The sequence below is a fragment of the Homo sapiens genome, chromosome 15 (assembly GCF_000001405.40).
Source record: "Homo sapiens chromosome 15, GRCh38.p14 Primary Assembly".
Taxonomy (NCBI): Eukaryota; Metazoa; Chordata; class Mammalia; order Primates; family Hominidae; genus Homo; species Homo sapiens.
In genome coordinates, this window is record NC_000015.10 from 58,603,970 (window position 1) to 58,626,323 (window position 22,354).

Genomic DNA, 22,354 nt, shown 5'->3' on the forward strand with positions numbered 1-22,354 from the left:
TAGAAAAAAATGTTTTGCAAAATTCATACTTCTGTGACTTTTTCACATGCTCTGTCCCCATAAAATATTTCTGTACTCTCTACTTCTACTAATTCTTAAGAACTTAGCTTGGCCGGGCACGGTGGCTCATGTCTGTAATCCTAGCACTGTGGGAAGCCGGGGCGGGTGGATCACCTGAGGTCAGGTGTTCAAGACCAGCCTGGCCAACATGGTGAAACCCCATCTGTGCTAAAATACAAAAATTGGCCAAGCATGATGGCAGGTGCCTGTAATCCCAGCTACTCAGGAGGCTGAGACAGGAGAACCGCTTGAACCTGGGAGACGGTGGTTGCAGTGAGCCGAGATTACGCCACTGCACTCCAGCCTAGGTGGCTGAGTGAGACTCCATTTCAAAAATAAAAATAAACAAAGAACTTAGCTCTGGCGTTATCTCCTTAAAGGCTTTTCCTAATAGGTTCTCCCAGTTCTGTGAAAACAGCACACAGACTGAAGATATGTTTCTCTGGCCTGTCTTCTCTATCCCAAACTGACCTGTGAGCTCCCTGGACTTATATCCTATTACCTCAGTACCTACCCAACAAACAAAATACCTGTTGAACTAGTTATTACAAGTAAGTCATTATTTAAATATTGACCTTGAAACATAACTAACAGCTCATTTATTACTTCCAGATTGCCTAACACATACAAATAATGTGACAAGGCCGTTACAACAGAGATAGGACAGTAAAACTGGTTTGGATATATTTAATGATAGTCTTTTTAGTACCTACACACTCTTTTTTTTCTCTTTTAAGAGACAGGATCTTGCTCTGTTGCCCAAGCTGGAATGCAGTGGTGCAATCACGGCTCACTGCAGCCTTGCCCTCCTGGGCTGTGGTGATCCTCCTGAGTAGCTGGGACTACAAGGTACATGCCGCCACACCCTGCGAATTCATTTATTTATTTATTTGCACACACAGGTCTTGCTAGATTGTCCAGGTTGGTCTTCAACTGCTAGTCTCCAGCAATTTTCCCTCCTCAACCTCCCAAAGTGCTAAGATTAAAGGTATAAGCTACTGTACCTGGCCTATAGATTTAAATAAAGAGCCATACGAGTACACGCTATGGCAGTAAGAGAGGCAGATTGGAGACAGAAAGCCCAGATTTAGTAGTGGTTAAAACTGTAGAAAACAAAGGTAAAAAGAACCTAGTCGCAGTTTAGATCAACAGATGTATAATAAAATATGGCACTCAAGCCCTTCAGAACTTCCAGTTCCTTCTAGCACAGTGTTCCTGGCTTTCTTCTAAATTTTTTCAGGTAACTATGTATCTCACAAGCCCAATGCTTGAGATGTTTTAGTGCCAATGATAGTAGCTTTTGTGAATTTAGCGTGTGGGGAAATGGAACATGGCAATAGACAAAAGACAGTAAGAAAAACTAAACAAAATAAATAGTGCATCTGAAAATATTAGTAAGTACGGCCACCTTTATAGTTTTCCTTTTTAAAAAAAGAATGAGTTAAATGCTAAATTACATGCTATCCCCTTTAAATATACTATAAAATCAGGGAAAGGAATACTAACTAGGGTAGTAAATGTAAAATATGCATTTCTCTCAAAAGAAAAGATCACAAATTGCCCACCTGTTAGTCTGAAAGAAAGGGGAGCTGTCATTCATTCAATGAACATTTACTGAGCGTAAACTGAGTGCCAGGGTCTTATATCCCAGAGACAAGGGTGTTAAGCAAAACTTTAGGGACAAAGAGAAGACATCCAACCATTTTTCAAAAACTCAAGAAGTTTCTCAACTCAGAAAATAATTCTACATAAGAAAAAGAGAGATGATGTTCAATACAGGCACTTAAACATAGCCAATAATAAAGTAAAAAGTCAAAATTAAATAGTCTAATTTATTATGTATTAATTACAATAGTATTTAATTTGATAATCTAAATATAAACAAAAAGAACCTATATGGTAACAAAATGACAAAGCAAGTATCATCTAAAAAAAAGTGCATGAGCGAGGACAGGGAAGACATGCACTCAAGTCTCTTCAGACATAAGATAATCTACTGTTCTTAAAGACCTCCAGAAAGTCAACCATATGATCCTTTCAATGAATACTGCAGTGTTCAACAACGCTCACTCTCAGCAAATGCATTCTGGACTTCCCATGGGTCACAAGACCATGTGGGGCCCAGAGCTCCTTGCCATGATACTGATTATGTCATCCCTATAGGGGCAGAAAGTTTCCTTTCAATTTTTCAGAAGACATAATACTATAGTCTGGGCTTTGAATATATACTCCTCCTATCCTTCAAACTCCCACCACCACTAGCAGCAGCAGCAACAGCGATCTGCCAAGCAGAAAGCAACTTGCTACTAAACTTTTGGTTACTTTAAGCTCAACCTGGGCAAGTAAGATAAAATACCACTAACAGGAACCTGAAAACATTCCAGTTTCAAAGTTAATATGCACAAGTTTTACTCTTTTCCATATAAATTATTACATTTGAGAAATCTGCTTCATTCATCTAGCAAATGTATACTGTGTCCTCACTATATGCTGAAAACCTTACAATATCATTATATCTTTGTTGTTAAAGTTTCATTAAGTGCTATGCTATGTGGTCTGTTCCACAAAGCAATGAAACCACCTTCTATTTTCAACATATCAAGATGATAAAATGGAAAATTTCTGTTACAAGTCTTTTTAAAAAGGAGTCACATATCACAGAGACTGAAAAAAATGGCAGACAAACTATTAGCACGCACCATCACCTACTGACTCAGTGGGTCTGGAATGGAACGTAAGAATTTGCATTTCTATGAAGTTCCCAGGTGATGCTGATGCTGCTTCTCAGGCCTACACTTTGAGATCACCGCTCTCGATCAGGAGTTGGCAAATATTTCCCATAAAAGCCCAGATAAACATTTGAGGTTTTGTGGGGCCATACAGTCACTGTTGCAGCTACTCAAAGTGCAAAAGCAGCCAAAGACAATGTGTAAACAAATGGGTGTGGCCATGTTCCTATAAAATGTTATTTATCAATACTGAAATTTGAATTTCATATGATTTTTAAAAGAATGTTTTGATAATTTTTAAATTTTTTTCAATCATTTAAAAATGTAAAAACCGTTCTTAGCTTCTGAGCCATACAGAAATAGGCACGGGCTGGATTTGGCCCATGGGCCATAGTTTGCCAACCCCTGTTCTAGATGAGTGGTTCTTAACCCTGGCTCCTCATCAGAATTAACTGGAGAGTTTTAAAAGACCCAGATACTTAAACCCAAGAGATTCTGATTTAATTAGTCCAAACCCTAGGGTGATTCTGGTATACAATCAGGATTGAGAACTACTGCTATTAATCAATATTTTTCCAAATGACATCTAAGGATATTTAGGACTTAGTCTTTTCATCATAAAAGTTTCTAGGGTTAGGTAAGTTTGGAAAATGAAGTTTAAACGATTTATTTATTGCAGGTCTTCTCACAAATCTCCAAGAAAGGTCTATAGTATGGAGTAGTTTTCCAGATTCATTTGACCATTGAAGGCCCAGAACATCTAATGGAACTAGTGTTCTGTTAAGCATTTGGGAAACAGTGCTCTAAATCTTTCATTCATAAAGAATACCAGATACTTACTACTTAGATGCATAAAATTATAGCAAAATATGACAGCAGAAACTAATTTTAAAATGAGAATGTGTTTGACTCTTGATAAATTAGCAATACAAAAATACAAACTCCTGATAAATCTGAACAAGTTAAAAAGAAAAAAGCCACAAAATCATCAGGCAATGATTTTTAAAAGGAGGGGAAACACAACAATACATTTGAACAATAAAAGTCAAGGTAAGAGGTAGTTTTCTACAATGTCAAACCTAACATGAAAGATACAGAAAATCAGAACACATCAACTATAGAAGAAACTGGAAATGAATTACCAATGCCCTCAATCCCTAATTAAAGAAAAGGAGATGCTGAAATAAGGTCTCAACAGATTTACTGATGAATGCTCTTAAATGTTTCAAGAACTAGATGACTCTTTGATAAATCCAAAGGATGTTTATCATTTTATCCTGTCCAAACACACAGTAGGCACTCAGCAAATACAGTAAATGTATTTGGAAAAATCAAAACATAGTTGTCAACACAGAAAAGAAAGTATCACTTCCGTGGTACCAGTAGCAGCAGTCAATAACCCATGCCCTGAAGTTCTAAATTGTTAAGGTTCTTCCTACTCTACCCTGCATGAGGAGAAAAGCTGCCATAGTGTAACACAGAAAGAAGACAAAACGCCACCAGGCACCACTGGAAAGGAAAGTAGTGAAACTAACCCCTCACTTCTTTCACAGCTTCTTACACAAGAGCATCCTGATAATCTGTATTACTAACTGGAAGGGCACTTCCCTAACATGATAAATCCCGGTATGCAAGTAAACTATGCACATAAGCAAATGAGACAAGTAACTTGTAAAGACCAGATGTTTATTATCTTACTGCTTGATGTGGTTAATGCCCACAAATGCACCAACAGCCTAGCGGTACTCTTCACACATTATGAGCATGCTATTCGAAAGACTGGCATATGCCTGTCAACAATGATATAAAATAAAGGCATGTTCTATCCCACACACACTTAAAGTCAACGTCTATGAACTTGAAAGTGTCTGATTAATTAGTTCCAGAGCACAAGAAAGGACTTCATGTTGCCAATTCATTGTGAAACATTTCATTAATCCTCACATCTAAAATATGGGGAGAAAAGGTCTTAAAAATACTTAAAAGATCATGTCTATTAAATATTTTTAAAGTGAAAATAAATGGGCTTTTGAAATTCTAAATAATGTAATGAGTGAAAATTAGAGATAACAGAGAAAAGTAAAAAAATGCTATGTTTAGATATGACTTAGTACCCCAAAAATCTAAAATATCTAGCACAATATATACTCAGTAGAATGTAATTCTGAGATCTCCTTTCGTTTTCTGTATACACTGTCTTCTACAGCAGACAAGTATACCAAATTTCAACTTTTCTTATTAGAGACAATCAGAAAAAAAAATAGCTGAGTTGAAAATAAAGAAGGGCCAAGAAAGGTAAGCTGCTTGAAGTCACAGAATTGATAAACACCAGAAAGATTATTTGAATCCTTACGTGATTCTCAAACATGTGCTCTTTCCACTGCACCATGGTACCAGAAGACAACTTCAGTTTGACAGGTATTTACTAGAACTTACCACGCAACAAGCACAGGAATTTAAAAAAAGAGTAACATGTTTTAAGGAAACCTAAGTTAAGTCAACTGCTCAAGTATTTGGTTTGAAACCTAGGTAGATCTCCTAAATCCAATTTCAACAATCCTTCTACTCCATGATCATTACATATCTAAAAACCACATATCCTAATGTGTCCTAGGAACGGTAAACATCATTTTAAATGCTGGGGTTAACTATAAAATTTTTACTCTAGAATGTTATTAGAAGAGTACAAAAAAGGCTGACATCCCACACAAACAACATCTTTTGTGCTTTAAGGCATCCATAGTTCTGAACACACACATACATACATACACACACACACACATACACACTAATTTGAGAAAGGGGAATGTGAGTTATAAGTCAATTTCCAAAGCAAACTACATTCAGTTCAATTATAGCACATTCTCAAATATATCATTTGCAAGCTTCCTATAGATATTTTAATGTTATCACTTTTAAAGCATGAACACTTAAGTTGAGATAGTCAATCTTGACAATCTTTTAAGAAAACATCAGGTAATTCTGTGTTTGTACAACTTGGAGATATGTGGGCTTAAAAATAAGCGTTCAGTGGATTACTGCTGGATGAACATCCATAATCATTAGTAGATCTACAAAAGGCTGTGTATCTGATCTTATTCTGTTCAACATTTCCTATTACAAACAAGATAAAGACCCAGAGATTATACTGAAAGATCAGGAAAAATCACCAATTAGTCCACGATTTGGGCAAATAAGTTGTCTTGAAAAACAACAAAAAAAAATGTTTTTTAAGTCCCATGAAAATGCCCTAATAATATGCACCAAAAGAAGTAACCCATCCAGGAGATGAACTAAGGAGCACGGTAAAACAGAATGACTCCCATCACCTACTAAGCAATCTATGAATGATACACATGATTCTGATCACTTCAGAAGGAAATAATAACCAGAAATATTAGAACTTTAAAAATCTTCATATAAAGTAATTCTAATATAAATAGTTAAGTTGTTTTCTCGTAACTTTGATGACTTCTGGCCAAGTAAAATTAAGATCAAACCACTTTAAGTTTTCTTTGTAAATAAAAAACATACTTACCACAATCCATTCAGCAATGTTTTCATAGAGCTCTGGACTAAAAATTGCTTTTTTAAGCCTAGCTAGAGGACCATCAGCATCTACTAATCTGCACCGCATGAAAACATCACAGTAACCTCTAAAATCGTTGCAAGGGGATCCAGGTTGCAGGGTGATGGTTCGACCACTGAAGTGCCTACTCCACTGCACAGACCCTGTACTGGCACAAGTTGATGGGTCCACTGGAAAAGAAATGCCAAATATAAGCTGAAGGTCAGATTCAAATATAAGTTGAAGATCAGATTTCCAGTTGTGCAAATACAAAGAGGGAAAAAAAACTGAAATCATTACCATAACATGTTATACAGACCTTCTCTAGTTAGGCTGGGTAACGCCATCAGTAATTCATATTAAATGTTACAATGTAAACAAGCAACCAGCAAGTCTTGACTCAGTGTCCACGATGACTTAAAGTCTAACAGTGTTTATGTAAATTACTGCTGTAAAGCTGGCAACGTTTTGTCTAGTTTATCATTTTTAAAACATTGTAGAGACCATAATAATAGAGACACAATGCTACGTTACATTTATAATCTCCTCAAGAGGACAGATTTAGCTGGAAATTATCTGGCCAAACTGTAGGTCAAAGTTTTACACTTAAAATTTAGGAGAAAATAATAGTTTGAGGCAAATTTTATACTCTTGTGTTTTTAAAAGCCTTACTTTTCTTCATACAGCATACATGGCATAATTCTTTATCATCTTTGCCATCAGAACTGGCACACGTACACTCCTCTAAGCCATATTTCTCACAGATAGAACCTGCACATTGCTAGAAGAAAAATAAAAGACAAATTGTTTAATCCCTATACAGTCAAACCTATTTTTTATAGTAACAGACAGGCAAGTATGAGCTTCCAATGTCAAAATATTTAAATGGAAATGAAAGTGAAAAACAAACAGAGATGAGTATCAAAACTGAATTACATAAATACATTTGAAAAAATTTGAAAAACAGTAAATCCAAGAAAGATAGTAAATCTTTTAAAGCAATGGCAACTTAAAAAAATGAAATAAAAGCAGAGCAAGAGATTAGATGAGGATCGATTTTATGTTGGTTATTACGGCTCTTCTATAAAGAAAGAAAAATTAAATTTTTTTCCTGTAGAGCAAAGTGATATTCAGCCACAAAAGCTTTGAAGGTTTGATATTCAGAGAAGATGACCAAAGAGTTCTTTTATTTAGGCTACTGAAATATTATTTTATAAAACTTAAATATTATAGACAAATCACATGCCGAGTTGTACAACTATGTTTCTCTAGAGAATATCAACCACATGTACATGGAAAGATGAAAGACAAATTAGTAGCTAATTGAATGCCACATAATATATTCATGGTTTTGTGAGGGAATATTACTTAAACAGAGACCAAGATTAATTACTTTAACTATGTAGCTTTAAGCATCAATAATTCTTCTGAAAAACAAGTTTTCTAAAATTAAATTTTAAAACATATAGTTAAATGCTTACCCCATTAATGCACACTTGTGTATGCCTATTACAGTCTGTGAAGTTTGGTTTAGGGTCAGATGCTGGGCAGAGAGCTGTGAAGCCATTACATATTCCTTCCCTTGCACAGTCTGAATCATCCCGACACTTCTCAGACTTTGACTTGAATGCACACTGTGCTGTACAACAAGGACCTTGACTTGGACTAGAGGAAACATTAAGTGATTAAACAAAGTAAATCACTAGTTATTCCCTATATACTATTAGATATTAGATTAGATCCACATTATTAGACATAGTACCAATTTTTAAATCCTAAGTCTCATCACTTAAATGATAAGTATGTTACTGGTATACAACTTCAAAAAACTGAAACCGCACACCGCCCTCCTGAGTAAACAGTGCACTGGTGGAGCCGTGTGTCCCAAAGAAACAGTGCCTGGGCCTACACAGAAAAGTCACACCCTGCAGGGTATGAGATAAAGCAGCACATTGCTCCTTCAGGTAATAATGCCTTGGCCAAGTTGAGGAGCTGTGCATTCCAGGGCTAAGCCAACACAGTAACTCACATCCCAGGGAAATATCAGTGGCTGAACTGGGATACTATGCCTACAGGCCAAACAACTCTAGCACCCTGCTTCCCTGGAGCTAGACTAGCCCCCTAGAGTCTGAGCTGCTGAGACACCCTTCTCCCCACAGTAGTCATCACTGTGCTGTTCCCTGCCCCCTAGGGCCCAAATGACAGCTGTGCTTGAACATTCTGAGGTACTTGCTGTTGCTGCACCTGGTCTCACAGACTTTGGGATACCACCAAGCCCCACCATCCCAGGGTCTAGACTCACCACCACCTCCATCCCCGGTGACCCAACTCGTCACTGAGTCCTATTGGCTCAGGCTCCGAAATTACTGCCATGCACTGTGCTCTGGGCTCAAATCTCCAGAGCACCTCTTCCCTGGACCCAAGCCCGGGCTATACCCTGCCCACAAAGTGTATAATCCCAGCTACAGACTGGCCCGCTGGGCCCAAGGTGCTAGGGAGTAACCCAGAGTCACAGATCCTGGTGCTATAGGCAACCTACATTCAATCTTGCCAGACAGTAAACATGCACTGCAAGACACAAGTACCATAATAGGTTTGTGAGATCCTGAGCCTAGAACTCCAGCCCCACAGTTACTCTACGCATCCGCAACTGGAAGCCAGCACCGCAGCAGGTGCTCGTAGGCCATGTCAGACCTGACACCAAGAGGGATCCCCTTGGCTAAGTCTCACCATTATGGGAAAAATGAGAATAGGAGGGCCCCAAAAGGCGTTGCCACTGAGGACATTAACAACCTACACCACCAGCATCCATTACCACAAACTTCTACAGCACAGACCACTGAGGTGCCTACAGTTATTGATGATGTTGAATACAGCTGAAGAAGCTGCATGGAGACTATACCACTGCACCTACCTGGAAAAAGAAGCACCACACCCTTCCCGACCAGCACACTAAGACCTAGCTACAGGTGAGAGTATATCTCCATGAAAGTCACTCTAGAAAATTTAGATGAGACGACTGTTCCACCAGACAGGCACACAGACATGAACACAGGGACTCATGAAACATGAAAAAACAAATATATATGACACCACCAAAGGAACATAATTAACTCTCTAGCAACAGGTCCCAAAGAAAAGGAAATCAATAAATTGCCTAAAAAGGAATTCAAAATAATGATTTGAGGGAAAAGACACAAGAAAATATAGATAAAAAATTCAATGAAACTAGGAAAACAATTCATATGAATGAGAAATTCAAAAAAGTAATAAATATCATTAAAGAGAAACAAAAATCCTGTGGCTTAAGAATTCAGTGAATAAAATAAAAATATATAATAGACAGCTTCAACAGCAGACTTGATCAAGCAAAAGAAAATCTCTGAACTTCAAGATAGAATGTTTGAAATTACTCATTTAGGGGAAGGAAAAAAAAAGGAAGAAAGTCTATAAGACTTATGGGACACCACCAAGTGAATAAATTTTCATATTATAAGAGCTGCAGAAGGTTGGGTGCAGTAACTCATGCCTGTAATGCCAGAACTTTGGGAGGCTGAGGTGGGAGGATCACTTGAGCCCAGGAGTTCAAGATCAACCTAGGCAATGTAGTGAAAGCCCATCTCTGCAACCAATCAATCAATCACTTAAAAGCTACAGAAGGAGAAGAGATTTAAAAAGGCACAGAAAACCTTTGTTTTGGCTGGGGTGCACTGGCTCACACCTGTAATCCCAACACTTTGGGAGGCCAAAGCAGGTGGATCACTTGTCAGGAGCTTGAAACCCCGTCTCTACTAAAAATACGAAAAAAACTAGCTGGGCATGGTGGCACGCACCTGTAATACCAGCTACTCAGGAGGTTGAGGCACAAGAATCACTTGAACTTGGAAGGCAGAGGTTGCAGTGAGCTCAAACTGTACCACTGCACTCCAGCCTGGGTGATGAAGTTAAGACTCTGTCTCAAAATAAAAAGAAAGAAAAAAGAAAGAAAAAAAAAAGAAAACCTATTTATTAAAATAATAGCTGAAAATGGAAGTCTTCCTTGAGGATTTATAGTCAAATTGTCAAAAGTCAAGGACATAGAGAATTCTAAAAAAAACAGCAAGAGGAAAGTATCAAGTCACATATAAGGGAGCATCTATTAGACTAGCAGCAGATTTCTCAGCAGAAATTTCACAGGCATGGAGAGAATGGGATAATATGTTCAAAGTACTGAAAGAAAAAACAAATTGGCAGCCAAGAATCTATAAGACTTTATTTGTCCCTCATTTCTGAAGGATAGTTTACAAATTAGCAGCCAAGAGTCTATACCCAGCAAAACTAACCTTCAGAAATGAGGGACAAATAAAGTCTTTCCCACACAAGCAAAAATAGGAAATTCATCACCACTAGACTGACCCTACAAGAAATACTCAAGGGATTCCTGCACCTGGAAGCAAAAAAAACCAATAATCACCATTGTGAAAACACACAGAATTATAATGCTAACAACCTACGTACACCAACACCGCCATTACCACAAAGCTGTACAATACAGGCCACTGTGATATACAAATGAGAAAAAGAAGAGTCAAATGTTACCACTACAGAAAACTACCAAACCACAATGCTAAATGAGAGAAAAAAAGAAAGAAGAATATGCAAAAACAAAACAAAACAAAACAAAAACAGCCGGGTGCAGTGGCTCACGCCTGTAATCCCAGCACTTTGGGAGGCCGAGGCAGGCAGATCACGAGGTCAGGAGATCGAAACCATCCTGGCTAACACAGTGAAACCCCATCTCTACTAAAAACACAAAAAATTAGCCGGGCGTGGTGGCAGGCGCCTGTAGTCCCAGCTACTAGGGAGCCTGAGGCAGGAGAATGGCGTGAACCCAGGAGGCGGAGCTTGTGGTGAGCCAAGATTGCACCACTGCACTCGAGCCTGGGCTACAGAGCAAGAGTCCGTCTGAAGAAAAAAAAAAAAAAAAAAAAACCAGAAAATAATTATCAAAATGATAAGAGGAAGTCCTCACCTACTGATATCAATCATGAATATACACCAATGAAATCCCCCTACTTAAAAAGACACAACCTGGCTGAATGGGCCTATTTTAATCTCTTCTCCCTCTGTAGCTTTTAAATTACTTATGTATTCATTTATTTGTAGAAATGGGATCTCACTATGTTGCCTAGGTTGGTCTTGCACTCCTGCTCAAGCAAAACTCCCGGCTCGGCCTCCCAAACACATGACACATCCACCTATATGCTGCTTACAAGAAAATCATTTTACCTCTAAAGACATATATAGACTAAAAGTAAAGGAACAGAAGAAGATATTTCACTCAACCAGAAACAAAGTAAGCAAGACTAGCTATACCTGTATCAGATAAAACAGATTTTAAGTCAAAAACTGTGAAAAGAGGGCCAGGCACAGTGGCTCATTTTGTAATGCCAGCACTTTGGGAGGCCGAGGCGGGCAGATCACCTGAGGTCAGGAGTTCAAGACCAGCCTGACCAACATGGCAAAACCCCGTCTCTATTAAAAATACAAAAATTAGTTGGGCATGGTGGTACATGCCTGTAGTCCCAGCTACTAGGGAGGCTGAGGCAGGAGAATCGCTTGAACCCGGGAGGCGCAGGTTGCAGTGAGCCGAGATCATGCCACTGCACTCAAGCCTGGGTGACAGAGCAAGACCCTGTCTCCAAAAAAAAACTGTGAAAAGAGACAAAAAAGATCACTATATAGTGATAAAATGTTCCATTCAGCAAAGGGATATAACAATTCTAAATCTATATGCACCGAACACCAGAGCACCCAGATACATAAAGCAAATACTATTAGATCTAAAGAGAGAGATCAACTCCAATAAAGTAACGGTTGGAGACTTCAACAGCCCATTCTCAGCACTGGACAGATAATCTAGACAGAAAATCAAGAAACACTGGATTAGAACTATACTTTAGACCAAATAGATCTAACAGACATTTACAGAACATTTCATCCAACAGCTGTGGCAGAATACACATTCTTTTCATTAGCACATGAAACATTCTCCAGGATAGACCACATATTAGGCTATAAAACAATTATCAACAGATGTTCAAAAACAGAGATCATATCAAGTATCTCTTCTGAACACAACAGAATGAAACTAGAGATCAATCACAAGGGGAACTTTAGAAACTGTACAAACACATAAAAATTAAACAACTTGCTTCTGAACAACCAATGAGTCAATGAAGAAATTAAAAATGAAGTTTAAAAGCTCTCTGAAACAACTGAAAATAGAAAAACACAACATACCAAATACTATGGGATACAGCTAAAGCAATATTAAGACGGAAGTTTATAGCAATAAATGTCTACATAGAAAAAGTAGAAAGATAAACAACCTAACAATGCACCTCAACGAATCAGGAAAAAGCAAGAACGAACCAAACCCCAAATTAGTAGAAGAAAAGAAATAATGAAGATCAGAGCAGAAATAAACAAAATTGAGACTAAAAAAATACAAAGAATCAGGCCAGGCACGGTGGCTTATGTCTATAATCCCAGCACTTTGGGAGGCCGAGGCGGACAGATCACAAGGTCAAGAGATTGAGACCATCCTGGCTAACACGGTGAAACCCCGTCTCTACTAAAAACACAAAAAAATTAGCCAGGCGTGGTGGCAGGTACCTGTAGTCCCAGCTATTCCGGAGGCTGAGGCAGGAGAATGGCGTGAATCCAGGAGACGGAGCTTGCAGTGAGCCGAGATTGCACCACTGCACTCCAGCCTGGGGAAAAAAGTGAGACTCCGTCTCAAAAAATAAAAAAATAAAAAAATAAAATAAAAATATATCAACAAAATGAACAGTTGGTTTCTTGGAAAGATAAAATCATCAATCCATTAACTAGACAAGGAAAAAATATCCAAATAAAATCAGAAACAAAAAAGGAGACGTTATAACTGATACCACAAAAATACAAAGAATCATTAGAAACCATTACAATAAACTATATGCCAATAAATGGGAAAACCGAATGATAATTAATAAATCCCTGGACACATACAACTTACCAAGATTGAAATAAGAATAGAAAACCTGGACAGATCAATCACAAGTAACAAGATTGAATCAGTAATTAAAAAAAAGTTTCCCAACAATACTTCCTGATCACCAGGTAAAATAAGTAAGAAAAAAAGAACTAGAACAAGACAAGAATGTCCACTCTCACCACTGTTATCAATATAGTAATGGAAGTCTGAGCCAGAGCAATTAGGCAAGAGAAGAAAATAAAGGACATCCAAATTGGAAAGGAGGAAGCCAAACTGTTCCTGTTTGTAGACAGCATAATCTTATATATATAGACAACCCTTAAAGCTCCACTGAAAACTCTTAGAATTGATAAATGAATTCAGAATAGTTGCAGGATACAAAATTAACATTAAAAAACCAGTTGTGTTTCTATATACAAGAAAATAGCAGAAAATCAATCTCATTTATAATAGCTGCAAAAAAAAGAGTAAGTTTAATAAACGCAAGGAGGTGAGTTTATTAAATTTCTAGAAGGAAAACTATGAAACACTGATGAAAGAAACTGAACAAGTCAAAAAAAAAAAAAAACACATTTCATGTTCATGGACTGGAAGAATTAATACTGTGAAAACGGCCATACTACCAAAAGCAATCTACAGATTCAATGTAATGCCTATCCAAATACCAATGACATTCTTCACAGATAAAGAGAAAACAATCCTATAAGTCATATGAAACCACAGAAGCCAATAGCCAAAAGAATAAAGCTGGAGGCATCACACCACCTAATTTCAAAATATACTACAAAGCTATAGCAACTAAAACAGCATGATACTGACATAAAAACAGACACATTAACCAATGAAACAGAATAGAGAATTCAGAAATAAATCTATATATTTACAGCCAATTGATTTTCGAGGTGATTTTTGAACATTCAGTGGGGAAAGGACAGTCTCTTCAATAAGTGGTGATGGGAAAACTGGATACCTATATGCAGAAAAATGAAACTAGACCCCTATGTCTCACCACATACATAAACCAAATCAAAATGTGATGGAAATTTAAGACCTGAAACGATGAAACTACTAAAAGAAAACATTGGGAAAAGATATCAGGACATTGATCTGAGCCAAGATTTTTGAGTAAGACCTCAATACTGCAGACAACAAAAGCAAAAATAGGCAAATAGGGTTACACACACTAAAAAGCTTCTGCACAGAAAAGGAAACAATCAACAGAGTGAAGAGACGATCTGCTGAATGGGAGAAAACATTTTCAAATTATTCATCTGACTAGGGACTGATAGAATGTACAAGGAACTCAACTCAACAGCAAAAAACTAAATAATCTCATTAAAAAGTAGACAAATGACCTAAATAAACATTTTTCAAAAGAAGACATATAAATTGCTAACAAGTACATGAAAAAATGTTCAATATCACTAATCATCAGGGAAACACAAATCAAAGCCACAGTGAGATACACCCAGTAAAAATGACCATTATCAAAATGATCAAAAAAATAAATAAATAAAGATGCTGGCAAGGATGCAGAGATCAGGAACCATTAGTTTACTGCTGGTGGGAATATAAATTAGTATAGCCACTGTGTAAACTGGTATAGAAGTTCCTCTAAAAACTAAAAATAGATCTACTATATGATCCAGCTGGGTATACATCCAAAGAAAAGGAAGTCAGTATATAAAAGGGATACCTACAGCCCCGTTTACTGTATCACTATGCACAATAGCCAAGATACAGAATTAGTCTAAGTGTCCACCAAGAGACAAATGGATAAAGAAAAGGTGGTATATATTTGGTCACAAAGAAGAGCAAAATACTGTCATGTGCAATAACATGAACGGAAATAGAAGTCATCATGTTAAATAAAATAAGCCAGACATAGAAAGACAAACAGCACATGTTGTTACTCATATGTGAGAGCAAAGTAAGTTGATCTCATAGAGGTTAGAGAGTAGAATGGTGTTACAAGAGGATGAGAAGGGTAGTGGAGAGGTGGATAAAGAGAGATTGGTTAATGGGTACAAACACATAGAAGGAATGAGCTCTAGTGTTTGATAGCACAGTAAAGTTACTACAATTAGCAATAACTAATTGTAAATTTCAAAATAGAAGATTTAAAATGTTCCCAAGACAAAGAAATGATAAATATCTGAGGAGATAAATATCCTTATTACCTTGATTTGATCATTAGATATTGTATGCATGTATCAAAATATCACATATACCTCATAAATATGTACAATCATTATGTATCAATTAAAAATGGAATAGGGGCCGGGTGCAGTGGCTCACACCTGTAATCCCAGCAGTTTGGGAGGCCAAGGCGGGAGGATCAGGAGGTCAGGAGATCGAGACCACCTTGGCTAACAAGGTGAAAGCCCATCTCTACTAAAAATACAAAAAATTAGCCAGGCGTGGTGGCGGGCGCCTGTAGTCCCAGCTACTTGGGAGGCTGAGGCAAGAGAATGGCGTGAACCCGGGAGGCGGAGCTTGTAGTGAGCAGAGATCGCGCCACTGCACCCCAGCCTGGGCGACAGTGCAAGACTCCATCTCAAAAAAAAAAATTTAAAAAAAGGAATAGGAAGCTACTAAGCCAAACAGTCAAGAAAAGTGTGCGACTTTTTTTTTTAATAGTCAAAGCATACTACATTCCACATTCTTGCCCTGTTCACCTTTAGGAAAAGGCTACAATGGAAAATGGATTTAATATTAGGCAATTTATCAGTATTTTTTCAGTTACATCACACATTAGTTAATTTATCGCTTTCTCTCCCATTTTCATACTAAAATCAAACTAGGATATACAGACCAGCCGTTTAAAACATATTGAACTGGCCGGGTGCGGTGGCTCATGCCTGTAATCCTAGCACTTCGGGAGGCGAAGGTGGGCAGATCACTTGAGATCAGGAGTCCAAGACCAACTTGGCCAACATAGTGAAACCCCAACTCTACTAAAAATACAAAAAACTAGCCAGGCATGGAGGCACACACCTGTAGTCCCAGCTATTCAGGAGGCTGAGGCAGGATAATTGCTTGAACCTGGGAGGCAGAGGTTGCAGTGAGCTGAAATCATGCCACTGCACTCCAGCCTGGGTGACAGGTTTTTCTGAGACTCCATCTCAAAAAAAAAAAAAGTATTGTGCAAACAATTGCTTACACTGCTACCAAAGTAAATTTGACAAGTGAAATAGTTATAACTTGCCAAGTTAGAAAAGTAAATGGATTCCACATTAACTAAATATTTAAAGTTAAGATTTTTAAAATATGGAAGATAGTTACATTTTCACAATAAGTAACTAAAGAATATGTATTTTTTTTTTTTTTTTTTTGAGACGGAGTCTCGCTCTGTCGCCCAGGCCGGACTGCGGACTGCAGTGGCGCAATCTCGGCTCACTGCAAGCTCCGCTTCCCGGGTTCACGCCATTCTCCTGCCTCAGCCTCCCGAGTAGCTGGGACTACAGGCGCCCGCCACCGCGCCCGGCTAATTTTTTGTATTTTTAGTAGAGACGGGGTTTCACCTTGTTAGCCAGGATGGTCTCGATCTCCTGACCTCATGATCCACCCGCCTCGGCCTCCCAAAGTGCTGGGATTACAGGCGTGAGCCACCGCGCCCGGCCAAGAATATGTATTTTTTAGGATTCTTTTTAGTATGTCCTTTGAGTATGTCCTTTTGTTAACATTCACCACACAAATTACTATTAAAAGTAGTCCAAACAAGCCTGGGCAAATGGCGTAACTCTGTCTCTAAAAAAAAATACAAAAATTAGCTGGGTGTGGTAGCACATGCCTATAGTCCCAGCTACTCAGGGGGCTGAGGTGGGAGGATCAATTGAGCCCGGGAGGTGGAAGTTGCAGTGAGCCGAGATCATGCCACTGCACTCCAGCCTGGGCAACAGAGCGAGACCCTGTCTCAAAAAAAAAAAAAAAAAAAAAAAAAAAAGTAGTTCAATCTGCCAATAACAGAGCAGTAACCAACACTACTTCAGAAAAAGAAAACAAACAACAGATAAAAGCAAAGTTTCAAAACCATATGCATCTCTTAATCTCAGTTTTAAATTTGTCATAACTGCATTGAGGTAACTTTACAAGAATGTTAACATCACTGAAATTAGCAAGGTACCTGCACTGTTTCCCAGGTTTCAGTTTGCATTTTCTTCCCTCTGGTTGATTTGCATCGAAGCAGCATTCATCTTTACACTGGTCACTATAGCCACAATCACATTCTTCACCTTGTTCTACCATTCCATTTCCACAAATAGGTTGGCCAGATTCTGAGGAAAATAAACAAGACAAAGTAAGCATTGTGTGCACACATTAATTTTATTTAAAATTCACAAATTCTTTAGATCATCATAACAAAGGGATAAAGGAAAACTTTGATGAATAAGTAGAACAAACTAGGAATCTGGAAATTACGAGACCTAATTCTAACAGGGGGTCTGCTACTAACTAGCAATGCAATCTTGGGGTCTTCAGTTTCTCAATCTGTACAGTGAGAGGATTTGACAGAGGGTCCCTTCTAGAAGCTGTAACTTGCAACTTAGGCCATGCTACATTGAGCTTTATTGACTGTTCTATTCATATCACACAAATACAAACCAAGTTAGTGCTTCACTAACCAGGAAAAAAAAAAATTAAGCCTTTTTTTGCAACAGAAAATTTCAAACACACCTAAAAGTAATAAAAGAATATGTACAATGAATTCCCATGTACCAATCACTCATCTTTAACAACTATCAACAACAATATGCTGTTCTTGTCTCACTTACTCCCACAGTTTTTTTCTGGAGTATTTTAAAACAACCCCACCTAACATATTATTGTCCCTGTAAATACTTCAGAATGTATCACTATGACATAAAGTTTTTTTCTTATTTAAACCTAACCATAATAACCATGATCATATCTAACAAAATTAATAGCATGCTTAATAACATCTAACAGCCAAGCCATGTTCAATTTTCCTCAAATGTCTCTTTACAATTTGTTGCTGTGAATCAAGTTTCAAACCCAAGGTTCCCCTAACCCCAACTCCTCCCCTCATGGTTGCTTTTTGACAGGTCTCTTATGTTCTTTTAACGTGTAATAGATTTCTCCATTTTTATTTATTTTTACACCATTGATCTGTTAAAGAAGTTGGGTGATTTTGTCTATGAAATGTCCCACATTCTATTTAGCTGATTGTAATACAATCAGTAGGTAATTTTTTTTATGTACATTAGTTTTGCTGCTGAACTAAACCAAGCTCCTTAAGGGAACAAACATGTATTATTTATATCTTCTGTATTCTCACAGACCTTAATGGTATTGAGCCAGATCTTGGTTGATTAAGATTAGACAGTCTCATCTAAGCATAGTGAATAATTTTAGAAAATTTCTTCAGCAGTCTTCTAAAGTTCTTTGATTTTTGTCAATGGAATTTAAAATTGGAATAGAAATGCTCCTCTTTGTAAGATCATAAAATCAAAGAGCTTTAGCAACTGCAGAGAATGATAAAAATCAAATGCCTTAAATGTTCTAGGAAATAAAACTAACTTCCAAGGAGTCTGTAACTTGCTAGGGACCATATATCCCAGTATAGGCAAAACACAGACTATATCTAGGGTTTTCTAGGTCTACGATCTGGTGCTCTTTTCTTTCTCCTACACCAAATCGACATGGAAAACAGTCATTGTACAGGCTTTAAGTTGCGAATTGAATAAGTAGAAGGGAACACATACATCTCAACACAGGAACCCATACATCTCAACACAGGAAACCCACATGAGGCCTATCTAAATCAAAAATGTTCTAGAAAGACTGGCTTTATATTCAGATAATTATTTCTTTATGGTAAATTATCTTCCTTTATTTATATGTGCAATATAAAACAGAAGCTTGGCACAAACATATGCACTCACATCAGCCCAGAAGAAAGGATCTGGGACAAAGCCACTTGGCAACAGGACTGGGAACCCAGACCCTCAGGGCACATAGGAGCCTAGCTGAACCCTGATTTCAGGGCCCCCAGGGATGTTGCTGTGGAGGCACCTGCTCTCCAGAGCCAGACTGGCCTAGATGAAAGCAGAAAGTTCATTCTTAACCACATCGACTATTTTTTAAAATCTTGGAGGTCATCGAAGCTTCATCCCTGTTTCACTTTAAACCATCTCTTTCGTTCTCAAAAACCAGAAGCATGCACTATTTATAATAGCAAACACATGGAATCAACCCAAGTGCCCATCAATGATAGACTGGATAAATAAAATGTGATACATATACACCATGGAATACTACACAGCCATAAAAAGGAATGAGATCACGTCCTTTGCAGGGACATGGATGAAGCTAGAAGCCATCATACCCAGAAAACTAACACAGGAACAGAAAACCAAACACCACATGTTCTCACTCATAAGTGGGAGTTGAACAATGAGAGCACATGCACACAGGGAGGGGAACAACACACACCAGGGCCAGTCCAGGGGTAGAAGGTGAGGGGAGGGAGCGCATTAGGACAAACAGCTAATGCATGTGGGGCTTAAAACCTAGATGATGGGTTGATAGGTGCAGTAAACCACCATGGCACACGTACACCTATGTAATGAACCTACACATTCTGCACTTGTATCCCGGAACTTAAAGTGAAATTTAAAAAAAAAAAAAAAGGGGGGGCCAGGCGAGGTGGCTCACGCCTGTAAATGCCAGCACTTTGGGAGGCCGAGGCAGGTGGATAACAAGGTCAAGAGATTGAGACCATCCTGGCCAACATGGTAAAACCCCGTCTCTCCTAAAAATACAAAAAAACCAGCTAGGCGTGGTGGCGCACTCCTGCAGCCCCAGCTACTTGGGAGGCTGAGGCATGAGAATCGCTTGAACCTGGGAGGGAGAGGTTGCAGTGAGCCGAGATCGTGCCACTGCACTCCAGCCTGGTGACAGAGCGAGACTCTGTCTCAAAAAAAAAGCAAAAACAAAAACAAAAAAAACTAGAAACATGCATCTGCACATATATACTAGGTGAATAATGATTTTTACAAGTCTAGTAATAATTTTATAATTCACATGACACGTAATTTATAAGAAAACAAATAACGAAGTCAGAAAATGTTACATACATTATTTACTACATATTAATTTTTATTTCATATAAAATTAGTACTTCAAGTTAGTTATTTGCTAACAGTTTAAACAACAATGAGGTACTGTTTGTTTGTTTGTCTGAGACAGAGTCTCGCTCTGTTGCCCAGGTTAAAGTGCAGTGGCACGATCTTGGCTCACTGCAACCTCCAACTCCTGGGTTCAAGCAATTTCTTGTGCCTCAGCCTCCCAAGTAGCTGGGACTACAGGCGCACGCCACCATGCCTCACTGATTTTTTAATTTTTTGTAGAGACAGGGTTTCGCTACATTGGCCAGGCTGGTTTCGAACTCCTGGCCTCAAGCAATCTCCCTGTCTTGGCCTCCCAAAGTGCTGCGATTACAGGCATGAGCCACTCTGTCTGGCCTAAAAATACTGTTTAAATGCAAAAATTATAATAGGTACACATTTTGTTATAATTTAAGAAAAAATTTTCTTTCCTGTTAATACCTACAAAGCAATATGTACATTTTTAAAAGTCAACTTATTTCAGAAGGTTTACTGTGAAAACCCAGTTTACAAATGAAGAATCTTAATGTACCTGTACATTAAGAAGCATTAGAAAAACAACCACTGACAATAACAATAACAAAAATGATAACATCAGTTTTTGAAGATTGAAGATGTAATTTCAATCTGCCCTTTTAAAAGAAAAAGATAATGCCAATCAATACAATAAAAAACTGATTAACTGGACCTCATCAAAATGTGAAACTTTTGCTCCACGAAAGAACTGTGAAAAGGGCGAAAAGACAAGCTACAGACTGGGAGAAAATATTTGCAAACCAGTATCTAGGACTAGTATCTAGACTATATAAAGAATTCTCAATACTCCAAAGAAAAGAAAAAAGTCCCACTAATGATCACTAAAATGACCAAAAAACATGGACAGACATTTCATCAAAGATGATTTATAAATGGCCAATAAGTACATGAAAAGATGTTCAGCATCATTAGCCACCAGAGAAATGCAAATTAAAACCATGAGATATCACAGCACGCCCATCAGAACAGCTAAAATAAAAAACTGTGAAAACTCCAAATGGTTGTGAACATGCAGAGAAACTGGATCATTTGTGCAGTGCTGGTGAGAACATAAAATAGTATGGCCACCCTGGAAAAGAGTTTGGCAGTTTTGTACAAAGCAAAACAAGCAATTGCTATATGGTCCATCAATTCGATTTGGGAGCATTTATCTCAAAGTAAAAACTTATATGTTTATACAAAAAACCTGTACATGAATGTTTACAGCTGCTTTATTCATAATAGCCAAACACTGGAAACAGCCCAGATGTCTTTCAAATGGATGGTTAAACAAATTGCAGTACATACATACCATGGAATACTACTCAGAAATAAAAAAGAACGAACTATTGATAAAGGCAATAATTTAGATGAATCCCCAGGGAATTATGTTGAGTGAGAAAAGGCAATTCCAAAAGGTTGTATGCTGTCTGATTTTATTTATATAACTTTTTTAGAAGTGACAAAATTTTACATATGGAGAACAGGGTAGCAGGGGGGAGGAAGGGACAACAGAAGGGAGGTAAGCATGGTTATAAAACAATGAGGGATCCTTGTAATGACAGAACTGTTCTGATTCTTGATTGTGATGGTGGATACATAAATCTACGCATGTAATAAAATTGTATAGAGCTAAATACATACAAAGAGAAATGAGAACAAAAAAAAAAACTAGGGAAATTGGAATAGTATCTATGGATTTTCTCAATATCAACATCCTGGTCATGATATTGTACTACAGTCTTGCAAGGCATTACCATCGGAGGGAACTGAGTGAAGGGTACAGGGAATCTATTACTTCTTATGAACTGTATGTGAATCTATTAATTATCTC

The 22,354-nt window shown here is 37.9% G+C and overlaps 1 protein-coding gene across 2 annotated transcripts in view; it reads right to left on the bottom strand.

Moving 5' to 3' along the window:
- The window catches only part of ADAM10 (ADAM metallopeptidase domain 10), a 160,899-nt gene that overhangs the window by 15,161 nt on the left and 123,384 nt on the right, over nt 1-22,354 (bottom strand). For both annotated transcript variants that reach the window (NM_001320570.2, NM_001110.4), the window contains 4 exons: nt 17,502-17,652; nt 7,839-8,022; nt 7,030-7,138; nt 6,328-6,548 (listed from right to left, as the gene is read on the bottom strand). In NM_001320570.2, coding sequence (NP_001307499.1) covers nt 6,328-6,548; nt 7,030-7,138; nt 7,839-8,022; nt 17,502-17,652 — 665 coding nt within the window. The remainder of the gene's footprint in view (nt 1-6,327; nt 6,549-7,029; nt 7,139-7,838; nt 8,023-17,501; nt 17,653-22,354) is intronic.